Source organism: Homo sapiens, chromosome 6, assembly GCF_000001405.40.
Source record: "Homo sapiens chromosome 6, GRCh38.p14 Primary Assembly".
Lineage (NCBI taxonomy): Eukaryota > Metazoa > Chordata > Mammalia > Primates > Hominidae > Homo > Homo sapiens.
This window is the reverse complement of record NC_000006.12, coordinates 154,963,969-154,983,895: the sequence shown is the minus strand read 5'-3', so window position 1 is coordinate 154,983,895 and position 19,927 is coordinate 154,963,969. Positions and strand designations below refer to the sequence as shown.

The 19,927-nt window shown below is 46.5% G+C and overlaps 3 annotated features.

Moving 5' to 3' along the window:
• Positions 2,605–2,704: an enhancer, noted in NCBI's record as "active region_25299". NCBI's record gives its function as "activates an Ori minimal core promoter by ATAC-STARR-seq in GM12878 lymphoblastoid cells {active_cell/tissue: GM12878}" and the evidence as "EXISTENCE:reporter gene assay evidence [ECO:0000049][PMID:35858748]".
• Positions 2,805–2,864: an enhancer, noted in NCBI's record as "active region_25298". NCBI's record gives its function as "activates an Ori minimal core promoter by ATAC-STARR-seq in GM12878 lymphoblastoid cells {active_cell/tissue: GM12878}" and the evidence as "EXISTENCE:reporter gene assay evidence [ECO:0000049][PMID:35858748]".
• Positions 17,022–17,668: an enhancer, noted in NCBI's record as "H3K27ac-H3K4me1 hESC enhancer chr6:155287362-155288008 (GRCh37/hg19 assembly coordinates)". NCBI's record gives its function as "activates a minimal SCP1, AML or CMV promoter by ChIP-STARR-seq in naive H9 embryonic stem cells {active_cell/tissue: H9 hESC(naive)}" and the evidence as "EXISTENCE:reporter gene assay evidence [ECO:0000049][PMID:30033119]".

Here is a 19,927-nt window from a genome sequence, read left to right as displayed (position 1 = left end):
AGTGCAGTGGTGCAATCTCGGCTCACTGCAAGCTCCACCTCCCGAGTTCACGCCATTCTCCTGCCTCAGCCTCCCGAGTAGCTGGGACTACAGGCACCTGCCACCATGCCTGGCTAATTTTTTGTATTTTTAGTAGAGATGGGATTTCACCGTGTTAACCAGGATGGTCTCAATTTCCTGACCTCGTGATTCACATTATTTTCTTCCAGTAATTCTGAAATATGCAATAGATTATTGTAAACTATAGCCACCCGAATGATCTATCAAACACTAGGTCTCATTTCTTCCATCAAACTGTGTACTTACACCCATTCATCATCTTCTCTTCACTGGCTTCACTTCTTATGCTAGGTTCGTGACCTCAGGAAATGGCTTAACACTCAGTGCCTCAGTTTCCCCATGTGTGAAATGGGGATAATACAATTTACCTGATGGAAACATATGGGAATGAAATGAGTTAATATTTGTAAAGCCACAGTAAGTACGATCTGTTATGTAAGATAAAAACAATTTGCTAGGCATGGTGGCTCCAGTCAGGCACGGTGGCTCATGCCTATAATCCCAGCACTTTGGGAGGCCAAGGCAGGTGAATCACCTGAGGTCAAGGGTTCAAGACCATCTTGGCCAACATGGTGAAACCCCGTCTCTACTAAAATTACAAAAATTAGCAAGGCATGGTGGCAGGCGCCTGTAATCCCGGCTGCTCGGGAGGCTGAGGCAAGAGAATGGCTTGAACCCAGGAGGCGGAGGTCGCAGTGAGCCAAAATCCCACTACTTCACTCTAGCCTGGACGACGAGAGCGAAACTCCATCTCAATAAAAATAAAATAAAAACAGTGAAAGAGTTTCTGTCATCCTGATTCTTTATTTCACTTTGGCATATTTTTTTTAAATTTTTTTATAGAGACGGGTTCATGTTATATCACTCCTGGGCTCAAGTGATCCTCCCACCTCAGCCTCCCAACATGCTGGGATTATAGGTGTGAACCACTGCACCCAGCCTACTTTAGCATAGTTTCTTTTTTTCTTTTCTTTTCTTTTTTTTTTTTTAAGACAGAGTGTCACTCTGTCACCAGGTTGGAGTGCAGTGGTGCGATCTCAGCTCACTGCAAGCTCCGCTTCCCAGGTTCAAGCAATTCTCCTGCCTCAGCCTCCCGAGTAGCTGGGACTACAGGCATGTGCCACCACACCCAGCTAATTTTTTTTTTTGGTAATTTTAGTAGAGACGGGGTTTCACCATGTTGGCCAGGATGGTCTCGATCTCTTGACCTCGTGATCTGCCCACCTCGGCCTCACAAAGTGTTGGGATTACAGGCGTGAGCCACCGTGCCTGGCCTTTATTTTATTTTATTTTTTTTGAGACAGAGTCTTGCTCTGTTGTCCAGGCTGGAGTGCAGTGGCGCGATCTCCACTCACTGCAAGCTCCTCCTCCCGGGTTCACGCCATTCTCCTGCCTCAGCCTCCCAAGCAGCTGGGACTACAGTTTCAAATGTGAAGAACACACACTATGTGGGAACTTGAATGCTCTTTTTTTTTTTTTTTTTTTTTTTTTCAGAGACAGGGTCTCGCTCTGTCACCCAGGCTGGAGGGTGACACATTGGCACAATCACAGCTCACTGAAACCTGGAACTCCTGGGCCCAAGCCATCCTCTCCTTTTGGCATCCCAAAGTGTTGGGATTACAGGTGTGAGCCATCATGCCTGAACTGAATGCGTTTTGATGAACTGATCCCTTACTTCATACTAACAGCATAGCTCTGAACACTGTGGAAAAACACAATTAGCATGAAACTGCCACTACACGGAGAAGCTCACTATGTATTAACAAAAGGAGAGAACATTCACTAATGTTTATTGAGTGTTTGTTCCATGCCAAGCACTGGGCTCAATTCTTTAGATAATTTATCTCGTCTGCATCTCATAACGTCCTAATGAGATAGGTAATATTATTATCCCATTTCACAGTGAGAACTACTCCGAGGCTTGAAAAAGAGAAGCACATATACAGAGACTGCAGCTCATCACAGAGTAGATGGGCCTGACCTCCAGCCCTGTGGGAAACATAAGACTCTTCATTGTATTAATGAACTCCTTTCTATTTTGAAATTAAAGCTGAAGATTTCCAAGTTAATTATCACTGTTGCTACATGGATGTTTATTAAATCTTGGCTGTCGATGATTACGATGGCCTAGTCCTAGGCCACGTTGGGAAGTTGGTGCCGTCTCCCTTTACATCTTCAGCATCTCCTCCAGGTCCCAGGATAGAATCCCCACAGTAAACAACAGTTGGCTGTTGCTAAGAGCTTAAGCTGTGAACTTTCTCGGGGGATATTTGTGCTTTAATTGAAAAACTGACAATGTCTTTGAGAGCCGAAGGAATGATGATGCATGCTGTAATCTCAGACACTGTTAGAAGCAGAGAAGGCAAGTTAATCGAGGAGGAGGTCCCAGAGCCCTTCCATCGCACAGAAGATCAGCACTGATGATACACATTTATAGGAGAAAATATTGTAATTGCATAAAGTACTTTCAGCAATTCCCTTCCTGGTGAGACCTTGGCCTGAGTTATTTTTCACTGCAAAGTACACATGGCTGTGAGCTGTATCTAATTCCTTGGTCCCTGTAAATTCTGACTCCAGCCAGCTTCAGCTTGCTTAATGAAATAGAACCAGAAGAGCAAACGCCTCCTAACACTTCCTGTATTAATGTACACAAGGCAGCTGATACCTGTGCATATCGAAACTTGGGGAATTCCCAGGTGGAGAGAGGCAAGTCAGCACACTGCGGACAAGGTCACATGAATCCAAAGGTGATACGAAAAGAAAATGTAGGTTCCAAGCCAGAGTTTAATAGGTGGGGACAGGCACAGAAGTGTGATTGTCTTGCTTTTTCCATAACTGAAAATTGAGTTCACCAGCCTCCATTTCCAGTTAGGAGTTGTATGAGTTTGCTAGGGGTGCTGCAATAAATTATAGCAAACTAGGTGGCATAGAACAACAGCAATGTACTGTCGCACAGTTCTGCAGGCCAGAAGTCTGAAATCAAAGTGTCGGTAGGGCCATGCGTTCTCCAAAGGCTCTTGAGGAGAACCTGTTCCAGACCTTTCTCCTGGCTTCCAGTGGTTGCTAACTGTCGGTGTTCCTTGGTTTGTGATGCGCCACTGCAACCCGTCTCTGTAGTCACATGGCATTCTGCTCTCCATGTGTCTGTAATGCTGTGTTTTTTGTTTGTTTGTTTGTTTGTTTGTTTGTTTGAGACAGGGTCTTGCTCTGTCATCCAGGCTGGAGTGCAATGCTATAGTCATAGCTCACTGCAGATTCCAAAGCCTGGGCTCAAGTGATCCTCCTGCCTCAGCCTCCTGAGTAGCTGGAACTGCAGGTGGGCCCCACTGCACCCAGCTAGTTTCTGTATTTGTTGTAGAGAGGGGGTCTCGCTATGTTGCCCAGGCTGGTCTCAAATTCTTGGCCTCCAGTGATCCTCCTACCTCAGCCTCCCAAAGTTCTGAGATTACAGGCGTGACAAGGAGATTGAGATTACAGACAAGGTCACATGAATCCAAAGGTGATATGAAAAGAAAATATAGGTTCAAAGACAGAGTTTAATATGTGGGGACAGGCACAGAAGTGTGATTGTCTTGCTTTTTCCATAACTGAACTCAATTGAGTTCACCAGCCTCCATTTCCACTTAGGAGTTGTATGAGTTTGCTAGGGGTGCTGCAATAAATTATAGCAAACTGGGTGGCACAGAACAACAGCAATGTGCTGTTGCACAGTTCTGCGGGCCAGAAGTCTAAAATCAAAGTGTTGGTAGGGCCTCTTCTCTTCTTACAAGGACACTGGTTATTTTGGATCGGGGCTCACCCTAATGACCTCATCCTAACTTGATTACATCTTCAAAGACCCTATTTCCACATAAGGACACATTCACAGGTATGGGGGTTAGGGCTTCTGTTTATGTTTTGGGGTGACACAGTTCAACCTGTCATCAGTGGTAGAATACTAAATACTCACTCCCAAAGAAACGCAGTCCCTTTCCCTTGAAAACTCTAGTCTTTTTTTTTTTGAGATGTAGACTCACTCTGTGGCCCAGGCTAGAGTGCAGTGGGGCGATCTTGGTTCACTGCAACCTCTGCCTCCCAGGTTCAAGCAACCCTCCTGCCTCAGCCTCCCAAGTAGCTGGGATTACAAACGTGTGCCACCACACCTGGCTAATTTTTATATTTTTAGTAGAGACAGGGTTTCACTATGTTGGCCAGGCTTCTGGTCTCTTTTAGATAGTCATCCCGTCAATTCAGGATTCTCCCCAGTTCCTTGATCGTTCTCCTCTTCTCTCTAGGAGGAGGTTGTGTATGGAGTGGGTGAGAGTGTTCTTAAGAACCAGGGTGGCTGGGTGCGGTGGCTCAAGCCTGTAATATCAGCACTTTGGGAGGCTGAGGTGGGTGGATTGCCTAAGGTCAGGAGTTCAAGACCAGCCTGACCAATATAATGAAACCCTCTCTCTACTAAAAAATACAAAAATTAGCTGGGCATGGTGGTGTGCACCTGTAGTTCTAGCTACTTGGGAGGCTGAGACAAGAGAATCGCTTGAACTCGGGAGGCAGAGGTTGCAGTGAGCTGAGATTGCGCCACCACTACACTCCAGCCTGGGGCGACAGAGCAAGACTCTGTCTCAAAAAGAAAAAAAAAAAGGCTGGGCGCGGTGGCTCAAGCCTGTAATCCCAGCACTTTGGGAGGCCGAGGCAGGTGGATCACGAGGTCAGGAGATCGAGATCATCCTGGCTAACGTGGTGAAATCCCGTCTCTACTAAAAATACAAAAAATTAGCTGGGCGTGGTGGCGGGCGCATGTAGTCCCAGCTACTCAGGAGGCTGAGTCAGGAGAATGGCGTGAACCCAGGAGGCAGAGCTTGCAGCGAGCTGAGATCGCGCCACTGCACTTCAGCCTGGGCGACAGAGTGAGATTCCGCCTCAAAAAAAAAAAAAAAAAAAAAAGAACCAGAGCAAAGCTGGGCACAGTGGCTCACGCCTGTAATCCCAGCACTTTGGGAGGCCAAGGCAGGCAGATCACTTGAGGTCAGGAGTTCGAGACCAGCCTGGCCAACATGGCAAAACCCTGTCTCTACTAAAAATACAAAAAATAGCCAGGCATGGTGGCACGCGCCTGTGGTTCCAGCTACCAAGGAGGCTGAGGCAAAAGAATTGCTTGAACCCGGGAGGCAGAGGTTGCAGTGAGCCGAGATCACGCCACCGCACTCATGCCTGGGTGACGAAGTAAGACTCCATGTTAAAAAAAAAAAAAAAGCTAGCTGGGCGTGGTGCCACATGCCTATAATCCCAGCTAGTCAGGAGGCTGAGGCATGAGAATTGCTTGAACCCAGGAGGTGGAGGTTGCAGTGAATGGAGATTGTGCCACTGCACTCCAGCCTGGGTGACAGAGCAAGACTCCGTCTCAAAAACAAAGAAAGAAAGAACCAGGGCAAGGCCAGCCTGATGTGAGGGATATCTGATTGGCATACTTGCCTCACTCCTCCCTGTGGTCCGGACTGCCTGGACTTGGCATCTACTACCAGCCCACCATGGGCTCCCATCAATAGGCCCCTAAAGGCTCAGTCCTCCTATCTCAACCTGGAGGCTTCTTCCAGGCTCTCAGGCCATTTTCAGCCTAGCTCTGTGGCTTGCTTTAGGGGGCAGACTGGTTCTGGAAGCTCCCCTTCCACAGGAACAAGACTTGACAGGTAGCCTCTGGCTCTTAGTCTAGCACTGGCTTTTTTTGTTTTCTTTTTTTACTTCACCATTCTACTAGATGGGGCTTCCCAAAGAGGCCCACAGTATCACAGGACTAACCTTGCGATATTGCTTTGGGATCTTCAAACTTTTCTCTAGTTATATTATCTCCATCCCCTTGGACAAGGCCCAAGGTCACAGGACAGAACCCCACATAGCGATTGTCTAAACTCTTCTTGTCTTCTCCTATTCCAGCTCCCACCCTTCAGTCCAGCCCAGAAAAAGAGTTTACCTCTGTTTGTGCCCAGCATACCCTTAGGATATCACACATACTTCTCCATTCTATGACTTTCCTTTGAAATGTACCATCCATGAAATTATGCTTCATGAATTATGCTATTATGGAGATGGAGGAAATGCTTATATTAGACCAACCCTTATGATGCAGAAAACAAAGAGGAAATCTCGATAAAATATTAAGCATACACAATGCGGGCCGGGCACGGTGACTCATGCCTGTAATCTCAGCACTTTGGGGGGCCAAGATGGATGGATTACTTGAGGTCAGGAGCTTGGGACTAGCCTGGCCAACATGGTGAAACTCCATCTCTACTAAAAATACAAAAATTAGCCGGGTGTGGTGATGGGTATCTGTAGTCCTAGCTACTCGGGAGGCTGAGGCAGGAGAATCACTTGAACCTGGGTGGTGGATGTTGCAGTGAGCCGAGATCACACCACTGCACTCCAGCCTGGGTGACAGAGCGAGACCCTGTCTCAAAAAAAAAAAAAAAAATACACAATTCATATGTTTGGGAGTCATTAAAGAGCTTACTCAGACACTGTGATCTTGGACTAAAATCCCTGGGAAAAGGGAAGTCTGGCGAGGGGACCCCAATGCTCAGCTTGTTTCCTCTAGAGGCTTTTCCCAACCACTAAGCTGCCAAGACAGCCAGAGAGAAGGTATCTCAATAATTATACCCAGTAAAGGTCTGGCATCTAGAATACGTATAGAACTGAGACAAATCAATTAATTTAAAAATCCATCATTGCAATTTTTAAAGATTGGAACAGTTACTATTGAAAAGAAGATGCCACTAAACATGTGAAAAGATGCTCAACCACAATAGCCACCAAGGAAATCAAAACTAAGACCACAGGCCAGACGCGGTGGCTCACACCAGTAATCCCAGCAGTTTGGGAGCCAAGGTGAGAGGATTGCTTGGAGCTAGGAGTTTAAGTCAGGCTGAGCAATATCGTGGGACCCTGTCTCTACAACAAATATTTAAAAATTAAAAAACTAAGGCCACAAAGAGACCCCACAGCATGCCCTCCAAATGGCTAAAACTAAAAAAGGACAACATAAAGTGTTGGCAAGGGGCCAGGCACAGTGGCTCATGCCTGTAATCCAAACACTTTGGGAGGCCGAGGTGGGCAGATCACTTGAGGTCAGGAGTTCGAAACCGGCCTGGTCAACATGGTGAAACCCCGTCTCTACTAAAAATACAAAAATTAGGACGCACCTAGTACGTCCTATTTTATCTCTAGCTTCATTGTCTCACCATTATGTTTGTAAGATTCATACAGGAGTTTGTCCATTTTCTATGCTGTATACTGATCCGCGATGTGAATATACCACAGTTTATACATTTATTCTACTGTCGAGGGCCATTTGGGTTGTTCCTTGTTTGGGCTATTGCAAATAATGATGTTGTCCAACATCCTTCTACATTCTCAGTGTGCATTTACCTCTGCTTCTGCTGGGCATGTAACTGGAGTAGAATTGCTGGGTGATGGAGAGTGCATTTGTTCAATTTTAGTAGTTACTGTTTTTCCAAATTGCTTGTACAAATTTATACTCCCACCAGCAATTTATGAGTCTTACACACATCCCTGACAACACTTTATTTATTTATCTATTTATTGAGACGGAGCCTCGCTTTGTTACCCAGGCTGGAGTGCAATGGCACGATCTCGGCTCACTGCAAGCTCCGCCTCCCAGGTTCAAGCAATTCTCCTGCCTCAGCCTCCCGAGTAGCTGGGATTACAGGTGTGCGCCACCACACCCAGCTTATTTTTTGTATTTTCAGTAGAGATGGGGTTTCACCGTGTTAGCCAGGATGGTCTCGATCTCTTGACCTTGTGATCCGCCCGCCTCGGCTTCCCAAAGTGCTGGGATTACAGGATTGAGCCACTGCACCCGGCCATGCTCTTTTTCTTGAACTGGAAAGTGGTCATGTAGGTGTATCCGTCTGTGTCAATCCACAGAGCTGTATCTGACCAGGGCACTTTTCTGTATTTGTAAGTGTAATAAAAATATTAAAACAAACACCTATCATACAGATCTTTTTTTTGAGACAATGATGCTATCATGGCTCACTGGAGTCTCAACCTCCTGGGCTCAAGCAATCCTCCTGCCTCCTAAGTAGCTGGGACTACAGGCACACACCAACATGCCTGGCTAATTTTTGTATGTTTTTATTTTTGCAGAGACAGGGTCTTACTGTGTTGACCAGGCTGGTCTTGAACTCCTGGGCTCAAGTGATCCTCCCACCTCGGCCTCTCAAAGTGCTGGGATTACAGGTGTGAGCCACTATGCTCAGCTTAACACAGACTCTTGACACGGAAAGCTACAACTATGATTTTACTGCACCTGTTCTTTGTATAAAACAGGATATAAAAATCAGAAGAAGGAAATTGCTTTTTAGGTCTAATAATGAGATCAGATAATAGTTGCCTCCGGATCACCTTTAGATTGAAGGTCTCTGAGATACAATTTGTAAATCACCGCACCTTCCTGAGTTAACCTCCCTCCAGGTGTTTCTCCTTTTACTTAGATATGAATCTTCTATAATTCCTACTGTAGTCAATCAACAAAGGAATTACTCAACACACACACACACACACACACACACACACACACACACATTAGAATTCAGTGTCCACACAAAACACAAAGCGGGCCAATTTGTCTTCAGGGTCGTGCTCAAGGCCAAGGGTCATCACTCCCAGACCCTGACCCCTCCAGCCACCTTGATCTCTCCCTTCTCTTAATACCATTTTCCTCTGTACCACTCAGTTGCCACTTAGAAACCTCCTGGTGCTGTCAGCTCCCTTTTATTCACCACGACCCATCTTAACAACCAGGCAGAGTCCTTATAGGCAGGGATCATGCTTGGCTTTTTTTTTTAACATTTCTTTTTATTTTATTTTTATTTTATTATTATTATTATTATTATTATTATTATTATTATTATTATTATTGTCGCCCAGGCTAGAGTGCAGTGGCGTGATCTTGGCTCACTGCAACCTTCACCTCCAGGGTTCAAGCGATTCTTGTGCCTCAGCCTCCCAAGTAACCAAGGCTACAGGCGCACCACCATGCCTGGCTAACTTTTGTGTTTTTAGTAGAGACGGGTTTCACTATGTTGGCCAGGATGGTCTCGAACTCCTGACCGCAGGTGATCTGCCCGCCTCAGCACCCCCAAGTGTCAAGTGCTGGGATTACAGGCGTGAGCCACCGTGCCCAGCCAACACTTCTCTTTAAATGCTGCATCCTTGGCATAGTAATCTTGAGCAAAGTAATAGCTCATAAATATTTGCTGTTGGATGGGTGACACATTTTTCCTTCCTGGCTTCCTGAGGGGCTGAGGGTGGGGAAGGAATGAAAGGAGCAGCCTGAAATTATGGTTTAATCTTTTTAATGTAAGAATTTGTCATGCTCAAATTACTCAATGGTTCTTTACACAAAGCTATCAGCAAGTCACACTGGCTCCACAACATGGAACAGCGACAAGGCAGCATTGCAGAATTTCTCCCTACGAGGAAAAACGTAGGATCAAATCTCTGTCCCACTCAAGAGCATCATTCCTGATAATGTTAGACTTTATTTATCCGCTGTCACGGTGGGCCAGGCCTCATGCTCAGGATTTGACACACGCTATCTCACTTGATCCTCAAATCAACCCAAGGAGGTAGAAACTGTTATTCTTATTTTGCAACTAATGCTAAGGGAGATAAAATAACTTGTCAAAGTTTTCATGGCTACCAGAAGTAGTAAAGCCAGGATTCAGGTCCAAGTCTTCTGACCTCTAAAGTGAGGGCTCCAGGAAACACACACATAAAGAATGAGCAAATATCAAACACGGTCTTAGATGATGAGTTGTGTATGCAAATGATTATTTTACCAAAGAGTCTGTGCTAAGCTCCGTGGAAGAGAACAGGCAGAGTGGCGTGATCCCCACTGGCAGCAGGAGATTCTGCCAATAGTAATCAGGTAAAAAGTTCATCTCTACATTACAATGTTATGAAAGTCACTCAGAAATTTCAAATTGGAGACCTCCTCTATAATGACACGTTAGAGCTGGGCTGAGAGCAAACACTTTCAGAATTCCTCCTTCAAGAGGAAAGATCTTGGATGTAGATGTCAATGGAACATAGTCCAAAAGTTGGAGCTGGCCCTAGGAAGTCCCCTCCTGATGCTGCCCTCATGGCGTGATCATTAAATGCCTCATGGACCATGATGGGTTTCCCTTCCCTCCCCTCCCCTCCCCTCCCCTTCTCTTCTCTTTTAGATGGAGTCTGGCTCTGCTGCCCAGGCTGGAGTGCAGTGGCATGATCTTGGCTCACTGCAACCTCTGCCTCCCGAGTTCAAGCAATTCTCCTGCCTCAGCCTCCTGAGTAGCTGGGATTACAGGCACGCGCCACCACGCCTGGCTTATTTTTGTAGTTTTAGTAGAGACAGGGTTTCACCATGTTGGCCAGGCTGGTCTTGAACTCCTGACCTCAGGTGATCTGCCTCCCTTGGCCTCCCAAAGTGCTGGGATTACAATGATGGTTTCTTTCATTTTAGAGATGAGGTTTTGCTGTGGTGCCCAGGCTGGTCTCAAACTCCTCGCTCAAGCGATCCACCTGCCTCAACCTCCTGAGTAGCTGGGACTGTAAGTGTGTGCCACTGCACCCTGCCTTTATAAATTTTCATTGCCAAAAAAAAAACAAACCCACAAATAAATTTTCATTGCAGCATAGACAATACCCATCATGCAAAGATCCATCACACCACTTACCCACTTGCCATGTTTGAAGGAAAAGCAAAATGACAGGGACCACTTTGACAAATGATTATGAGGTATGTTATTACTCACAGTAAAACCGTAATTTTCTTCTTAAACAAAAAAAATGGCTTCAACGTTATTACCAACTGTCATACACCATTTGTTGAAGTTGCTACACATTGTCCCAGTATATTTTGATATTTATCTCAGACATATTTATGTGCAGCTACTATGGTTTACTTAGTTTGGCTCACACCTCCGCGTGGCTCTTGGGGTTGGAAATTCTACAGACTAGAGTCCACTTAAAGTACCAGGAATTTGGTACTTGGGGGAACACAAGAAAGACTACTGTTCAAGCAATGTTTTCAATTTATTTGTGCAGAGAAATCTTTCTTGGAAACCTCCTAAGTTTCATATTCTTTTATTGAGGCTCTGTTTCAAAGTTTGGCTCATGAGTTCCAAACCTATGAGCTGAAACATTCTTCTACTGCAACATTTTCAGGAAAATAGTGTGAGATTGAGAATCATGGTATCTGCCACGTGCTTCGACAGCACACATTCCTTAATTCCTTCATGCATCGACTCCTAAGTGTGTACTCTGTGCTGGGCATAGTGCATGTCCCTGAATATACAAAGACACAGTTCCTGCCTTAGAGAAAGTTCCAGTCTAAAGCATGATCCCTATGAGGCACATCCCACCCCAGACATTTCGGAGACCAGGCTGAGGAGTGGCTAAACCTGATACTTAGCATCCTATCATCCAAGAGGAAAGCAAACAAGCCCAGCCTAGGGGTTTGGAGTCATCTAGTCCCTTTTCCGTCAGCCGGGTGGCTCTCAGACAGCTACAGCCATTAGGAAGGACTTACGGATACTTTGTTAAATATCACCTTGCATCAGGGTCTCCATCAAAAGGAAAACAGAAAATTATGTTGAATTTGAAAGCTTAACTCTGCAATGCAATTTCCATCATAATACCTTATTTAGCCAGGCAAGGTGCCTCGTGCCTGTAATCCCAGCCTCTGGGAGGCTGAGGTGGGCAGATCACCTGAGGTTAGGAGTTCAAGACTAGCCTGACCAACATGGTGAAACCCTGTCTCTACTAAAAATACAAACATTAGCCGGGCGTGGTGGCACATGCCTGTAATCCCAGTTGCTCAGGAGGCTGAGGTAGGAGAATGGCATGAACCTGGGAGGCGGAGGTTGCAGTGAGCCGAGATTGTACCACTGCACTCCAGCTTGGGCAACAAGAGCGAAACTCTGTCTCAAAATAATAACAATAATACCTTCTTTATGTTCTCTTACTTCATGCAGCTTTGTTTTCTGATTACTCCAAAAATGTACAGGCGTTATTTAAATGAAAGGGATAAATATGGCTGTTGATTCAATGATTGTGGGAAGGCAGTCACAAGGAAATTAGATGCTAGGGAACAACATGAGGAGCAGAGAATTCCAGGGAATAACAGGACAAGCAAACAGCCTTCCTTTAGCTTCTCTGCACATGTCCTGCTAAGGAAACTCCAGAGTGTTTGGATAAGGTTCCATATAAGTGCTAATCAAAATAAATACATGGACCCTATTATGTGAAACCTGTCCTCAGGTGCATAGTCCATCATTAATTAAGGTGGCTGTTTTTATAATTTATAGTGAGGCCACACAGCACAAGCTCAGTGAGATTATGAGCTCTGGAATCACTATGAAAGGGTGGGAATCCTGCTTCCATTACTCTCTAGCTGTTTGACTTTGGACAACTATTAGCATTCTGGTGGCCACAGCTTCCTCATGTGTAAAGGGGATAGTAGGTACCTCATGGGGTTGTTGCAAAGAGGTATTGGTCTGGCACAGAGGCTCATGCTGTAATCCCAGCATTTGGGAGGCCAAGGTGGGTGGATTGCTTTAGCCCAGGAGTTCAAGACCAGCCTGGGCACAATAGTGGGACCCAGTCTGTATACAAAAATTTATTTATTTATTTATTTTATTTTATTTATTTTTATTTATTTTGAGATGGAGTTTCACTCTGTCGCCCAGGCTGGAGTGCAGTGGCATGATCTCGGCTCAGTGCAACCTCCGCCTACCAGGTTCAAGTGCTTCTCCTGCCTCAGCCTCCCAAGTAGCTGGGATTACAGGTGTGTGCCACCACACCCGGTTAATTTTTTATACTTTTGGTAGAGATGGGGTTTTACCATGTTGGCCAGGCTGGTCTCGAACTCCTGACCTCAAGTGATTCGCCCGCCTTGGCCTCCCAAAGTGCTAGGATTACAGGTGTGAGCCGCCATGCCCGGATGTATAAAAATTAAAAAAATAATTATCCAGGCATGGTGGCACATGTCTGTAGTCACGGCTACTTGGGAGGCTGAGGTGGGAGGATCACTGGAGCCCAGGGAGGTTAAGGCTGCAGTAAGCTGTGATCACACCACTGCACTCCAGGCTGGGTGACAGATGAGTGACAGAGCGTGACCCTGTCTCAAAAAAAACCAAAAAAACAAAACAGAGTTACTAAGATAACACACGTAAGGCATTTACTAGATTCCCCAGGCCTATAACAAGCACATCTTTAAAAAATGTTAACATCATTAATGTTTAAGTATCAACTTTTTCAAATTTTCCAAAATTATAAGTAGGCTTTATATGTAATTTACTATATATATAAAACTGAGAATTCACGAGGGTTTTGAAGGAGGTGATTTTTCAATTTTAAAATAAACTGGCCTGTATGGGCTTTCAAAAATTGCACTGCATATTAAAAATCAATAAAGTCCTTAAAATGGCCTATTAAAAAAATTGCACTGTATCATGCTGTGTCCTGGACTTCCCGAATTTCTCTGTGGAAATTGGAACCATTTATAAAAATTAAATGCAACTGTGCCCTAAACACCACTATATCTCCCACACATAGGTTTTTATACTTTCTCAGCCGTCTAGTTAGTCGCTTTGTGAAAAGCTTTCTTAATTACATGAAATTAGCCATTTACCATGTGAAGAATGCACCAGAAAAAAAAGCAGTCAGGATTTCCATTTCACAGGAAATTTTCTGAAAGGCCTGAGATCAGAACCAGGAAATAAGTGCAATAAAGAAAGCCAAGACATACCATAAGGAGGCTCTTGTGTTGCTTGTACAGTCTCTCCACAGCCAGAGAGGCTGCACGCTGCAGCGCGTTCTAGCACTGGTATTTCCTCCTCACAGACACAACAGTTTGTCTTATGAAGTAATTATTAGTTCACATTTCTGCCAACTGTCTGTGAAAAATGTTTCAAGCTGCCCCTTTGGACAGGAGACATTCCCTCCTTCTACTAGCGTCACACGTGTAGTTTAGCTCACTGTTAATCTTGCCCTCCAAATTCTTTGGGTGGTACTCTATGCAAATAATGAAATAAAAAACAGTTTTGTTGTGTGTTGTTCTAACTTAGTGACAACCACATGGAAGTTTCTAGTGATGGAGAAATGCATGTAGAAGACCAGACGGATCCTTTTAGACATAAGGAAGAGAAACAGCTGGGTGTGGTGGCTCACGCCTGTAATCCCAACTACTGGGGAGGCTGAGGCAGAAGAATCGCTTGAACCTGGGAGATGGAGGTTGCAGTGAGCTGAGATTGCGCCACTGCACTCCAGGCTGGGTGACAGAGTGAGACTTTGTTTAAAAAAACAAAAAACAGCATTCCCCCCTTCATTATTGTACAAAATAAAGTTTAAGAACATTATTTTCAGAGCGTTCTTGTCAAAATCAGTGCAAAGACAATCCATCAGTTGGTCAAAACCAACCAAACCCGATCCAATGTTTGGGGCTGGGAGGCTGATATCAGGCAGGTCTATGATTAATTTTACTTAGAAACACATAGTCTCTGCCCCTAAAAGGCAATAAACAATGATATGATATACCTGTTCAATGTTCAGCTGGCTGTGCCAAGGACCTTCCTCAGGTCATTGGACTGTTCTAATTTCTGCTTCCCTCATCTGCAAAATGAAGGGTTGGACTCAATGATCTGTAAGTAGCTTCTCAGCTTAAAAAAAATCATGCAACTTGGCTGGGCGCAGTGGCTCACGCCTGTAATCCCAGCACTTTGGGAGGCCGAGGCGGGTGGATCACCTGAGGTCAGGAGTTCGAGCCCAGCCTGGCCAACATGGTGAAAACCTGCCTATACTAAAAATACAAAAATTAGCTGGGCATAGTGGCGGGTGCCTGTAATCCCAGCTACTCAGGAGGCTGAGGCAGGGGAATCACTTGAACCCAGGAGGCGGAGGTTGCAGTGAGCCGAGATCACACCATTGCACTCCAGCCTGGGCGACAAGAGCGAAACTCCATCTCAAAAAAAAATCATGCAACTCGTACCACCTAACTTTGTTGACATAGACATGTTAAGCAGGTACCCGCAATGCTGGCCAGTACTTTTATTCTTTCTTGTCTGTGCCACCCTCCCAAATATTACACAAACATTGTCCACCAGTTTAGATGCAGAAGGAAAGAAGAAATGAGTAGTAAAACAGAAACATGTCTTAGGTAAATTATATCTTTAAACTCTAGTTTTAATTATTTTTTTCTTATCTTCTTCCTTCTGTTGAATAATGTTCTGCTTTCTTCTGTTACATAGTGATTGAGTCCATCATCTTTAAGGCATTTGTTTATTTATTTATTTTTATGTATTTATTTATTTTGAGATGGGCTTCTCACTCTGTCACCCAGGGGGAGTGCACTGGCGTGATCTCGGCTCACTGCAGCCTCCGTCTCCTGGGTTCAAGTGATTCTCTTGCCTCAGCCTCCCAAGTACTGAGACTACAGGTGCACACCACCATACCCGTCTAATTTTTTTATTTTTGGTAGAGACGGGGTTTCACCATGTTGGCCAGGCTGGTCTTGAACTACTGACCTCAGGTGATCTGCCCGCCTCAGCCTCCCAAAGTGCTGGAATTACAGGCATGAGCCACCACACTCCGCCATTTGTTTATTTATTAATTCATTTATTCAACACTTAGGAGTGTGCAGTATATTTTGGGAAAGGGCTGAGTGTTGAGAATGTGGAAATGTGCAAACACCCTGACCTCATGTGGTTTTCCCTCTACTAAAGTCTACATTTTATCTGAAATAGTTCATTCACAGTGTTTTCTAGGCTCCTCCTCCTGAAAGGATGACGTAGAAAACATTTTAAAAACATAAAAGCCAAAACAAAGCCGTATCTGATTGCTAAATCTCAAACCTAAATTTTTGAAAGGCAAATTTTACCCAAAGAATATTTCAGGCTGTGCTCAGTGGCTCACACTTGTAATGCCAACACTTTGGGAAGACTAGGCAGAAGGACTACTTGAGCCCAAGAGTTTGAGACCAGCCTAGGCAACATAGAGAGACCTCGTTTCTGCAATTTTTTTTCCGAGATGGAGTCTCACTCTGTCGTCCAGGCTGGAGTGCAGTGGTGTGATCTCAGCTCACTGCAACCTCCGCCTCCTGGACTCAAGCGACTCTCCTGCCTCAGCCTCCCCTGTAGCTAGACTTACAGGCACGCACCACCATGCCCAGCTAATTTTTGTACTCTTTTTAGTAGAGACAGGGTTTCACCATGTTGGCCAGGCTGGTTTCGAACTCCTGACCTCAAGTGATCAGGCTGCCTTGGCCTCCCAAAGTGCTGGGATTACAGGCATGAGCCACCGCACCCAGCCTTCGTCTCTACAAAATATTTTTTTAAATAAAAAATAAAATTTTTGCCCTCCCCCTCCCCCTCCCCCTCTCCCTCTCTCTCCCCACGGTCTCCCTCTCCCTCTCTTTCCACGGTCTCCCTCTCATGCCGAGCCGAAGCTGGACTATACTGCTGCCATCTCAGCTCACTGCAACCTCCCTGCCTGATTCTCCTGCCTCAGCCTGCCCAGTGCCTGCGATTGCAGGAGCGCGCCGCCACGCCTGACTGGTTTTCGTATTTTTTTGGTGGAGACGGGGTTCCGCTGTGTTGGCCGAGCTGGTCTCCAGCTCCTAACCGCGAGTGATCCGCCAGCCTCGGCCTCCCGAGGTGCCGGGATTGCAGACGGAGTCTGGTTCACTCAGTGCTCAATGGTGCCCAGGCTGGAGTGCAGTGGCGTGATCTTGGCTCGCTACAACCTCCACCTCCCAGCCGCCTGCCTTGGCCTCCCAAAGTGCCAAGAGTGCAGCCTCTGCCTGGCCGCCACCCCGTCTGGGAAGTGAGGAGTGTCTCTGCCTGGCCGCCCATCGTCTGGGACTTCAGGAGCCCCTCTGCCTGGCTGCCCAGTCTGGAAAGTGAGGAGCGTCTCTGCCCGGCCGCCATCCCATCTAGGAAGTGAGGAGCGCCTCTTCCCGGCCACCATCACATCTAGGAAGTGAGGAGCGTCTCTGCCCGGCTGCCCATCGTCTGGGATGTGAGGAAACCCTATGCCTGGCTGCCCAGTCTGGAAAGTGAGGAGCGCCTCTTCCCGGCCACCATCCCATCTAGGAAGTGAGGAGCGTCTCTGCCTGGCCGCCCATCGTCTGAGATGTGGGAAGCGCCTCTGCCCCGTCGCCCCGTCTGCGATGTGAGGAGCGCCTCTGCCCGGCCGCAACCCCGTTGGGGAGGTGAGGAGCGTCTCTGCCCGGCCACCCCGTCTGAGAAGTGAGGAGACCCTCCGCCCGGCAGCCGCCCCGTCTGAGAAGTGAGGAGCCCCTCTGCCCGGCAGCCGCCCCGTCTGAGAAGTGAGGAGCCCCTCCACCCGGCAGCCGCCCCGTCTGAGAAGTGAGGAGCCCCTCCACCTGGCAGCCGCCCCGTCTGAGAAGTGAGGAGCCCCTCCGCCCGGCAGCCGCCCCGTCCGGGAGGGAGGTGGGGGTCAGCCCCCACCAGGCCAGCCGCCCCGTCCGGGAGGGAGGTGGGGGGTCCAGCTCCCCGCCAGGCCAGCCGCCCCGTCCGGGAGGGAGGTGGAGGGGGCCAGCCCCCCGCCCGGCCAGCCGCCCCGTCTGGGAGGTGAGGGGTGCCTCTGCCCGGCCGCCCCTACTGGGAAGTGAGGAGCCCCTCTGCCCGGCCACCACCCCGTCTGGGAGGTGTACCCAACAGCTCATTGAGAACGGGCCATGATGACAATGGCGGTTTTGTGGAATAGAAAAGGGGGAAAGGTGGGGAAAAGATTGAGAAAGCGGATGGCTGCTGTGTCTGTGTAGAAAGAAGTAGACATGGGAGACTTTTCATTTTGTTCTGTACTAAGAAAAATTCTTCTGCCTTGGGATCCTGTTGATCTATGACCTTACCCCCAACCCGGTGCTCTCTGAAACATGTGCTGTGTCCACTCAGGGTTAAATGGATTAAGGGCGGTGCAAGATGTGCTTTGTTAAACAGATGCTTGAAGGCAGCATGCTTGCTAAGAGTCATCACCACTCCCTAATCTCAAGTACCCAGGGACACAAACACTGTGGAAGGCCGCAGGGTCCTCTGCCTAGGAAAACCAGAGACCTTTGTTCACTTGTTTATCTGCTGACCTTCCCTCCACTATTGTCCTATGACCCTGCCAAATCCCCCTCTGTGAGAAACACCCAAGAATGATCAATAAAAATAAATAATAAAAAAATAAAAAAATAAAATAAAATTTTTAAAAAGAACATTTCAAACTAATTTTTCCCCTAATCATACTGGAGGGTTTTTAATAACAAAATTAATGAAAGGGTTATTGTATTTTCAAAACTTCTTCTTGTCCCATTGATATGGCTTAAATATTTTAAAGGGATTACCTGGATGTGTCAGCTTCTACCTATATCTTGGATTTTAGCATTTGGATTTATCTTTGGGATCAAATTTGTATTCAGGAAAGAGCTCTAACATAAGGTTGCTTTGCCAAACAATTGTTCATGTCACATGATTTGAGAGGATTTTTAGTTAAGAGTTGAAGATGAATCTCCATAAAAATGATGCAGACATTTTTTCCCCAAAGAAGAGCTCATCAGACTCTGCGCTTGTTTTATATGGCGAGAACTTTAGTTAGTATTGGAAGGCCTCCCTTCGCTACACCTAGGTGTGAGACAGGCTTTCTATGCTGTTTCTCTTCCTTATGTCTTTTTTTTTTTTTTTTTTTTGACAGAGTCTTACTCTGTCAGCCAGGCTGGAGTACAGTGGCACAATCTCGGCTCACTGCAACCTCTGCCTCTTGGGTTCAAGCGATTCTTCTGCCTCAGCCTTCCAAGTAGCTGGGATTACAGGCATCCGCCACCATGCCCAGCTAATTTTTGTATTTTTAGTAGAGACGGGGTTTCACCATATTAGCCAGGCTGGTCTCGAACCACTGACCTCAAGTGATCCGCCTGCCTCGGCCTCCCAAAGTGCTGGGATTACAGGTGTGAGCCACCGTGCCCAGCCAGAATGCTTGTTAAAAATGCATAATTCTGGCTGGGTGTGGTGGCGGGCGTGTGTAATCCCAGCTACTCAGGATGCTGAGGCATAAAAATCGCTTAAACCCAGGAGGCAGAGGTTGCAGTGAGCCTAGATTGCGCCACTGCACTCTAGTCTGGGTGACAGAGCGAGACTTTGTCTCAAACAAACAGAAAATGCATATTTCTGGCCCCACCTCCTGAGATTCTAATTCTGTGGATCTGAAGCAAGGGTAAAGAATCTGAATTTTGACAAACACATCCAGGTGATTTGGATGCGAAACTGAACATTGAGAAACAGGGTCTCAAAGCGTCTCTCCTCCACTCAGACCCACCTCCCAGGAACAGGATGGAGAGCACCACTGACGGACAGGCGGAGCTGCTGAAATGAAGTCTGACACGTGTCAGTATCATGTGTGTATCATGCTTTGAAGAATCCTTCTGCATCGTCGCTATTAGAATAACATATACATGATTATAAATAATGGCATGCAGGTGACAAGTGCTGTATTCAAATCATTTATTTTTCTTAACCATTTCATGCTTTGTTAAAGTCAAGTTCACTTCTCAAGACCAAGCTAAATGCCATACTCTTAACATGACACTAGAGGCTGGGCGCGGTGGCTCACGCCTGCAATTCCAGCACTTTGGGAGGCTGAGGCAGGTGGATCACTTGAGGTCAGGAGTTGGAGAACAACATGTCAAAACCCCATTTCTACTAAAAATAAAAAATTAGCAGGGTGTAGTGGTGCGCGCCTGTAATCCCAGCTACTCAGAAGGCTGAGGCGGGTGAATTGCTTGAACCTGGGCAGCGGAGGTTGCAGTGAGCGGAGATTG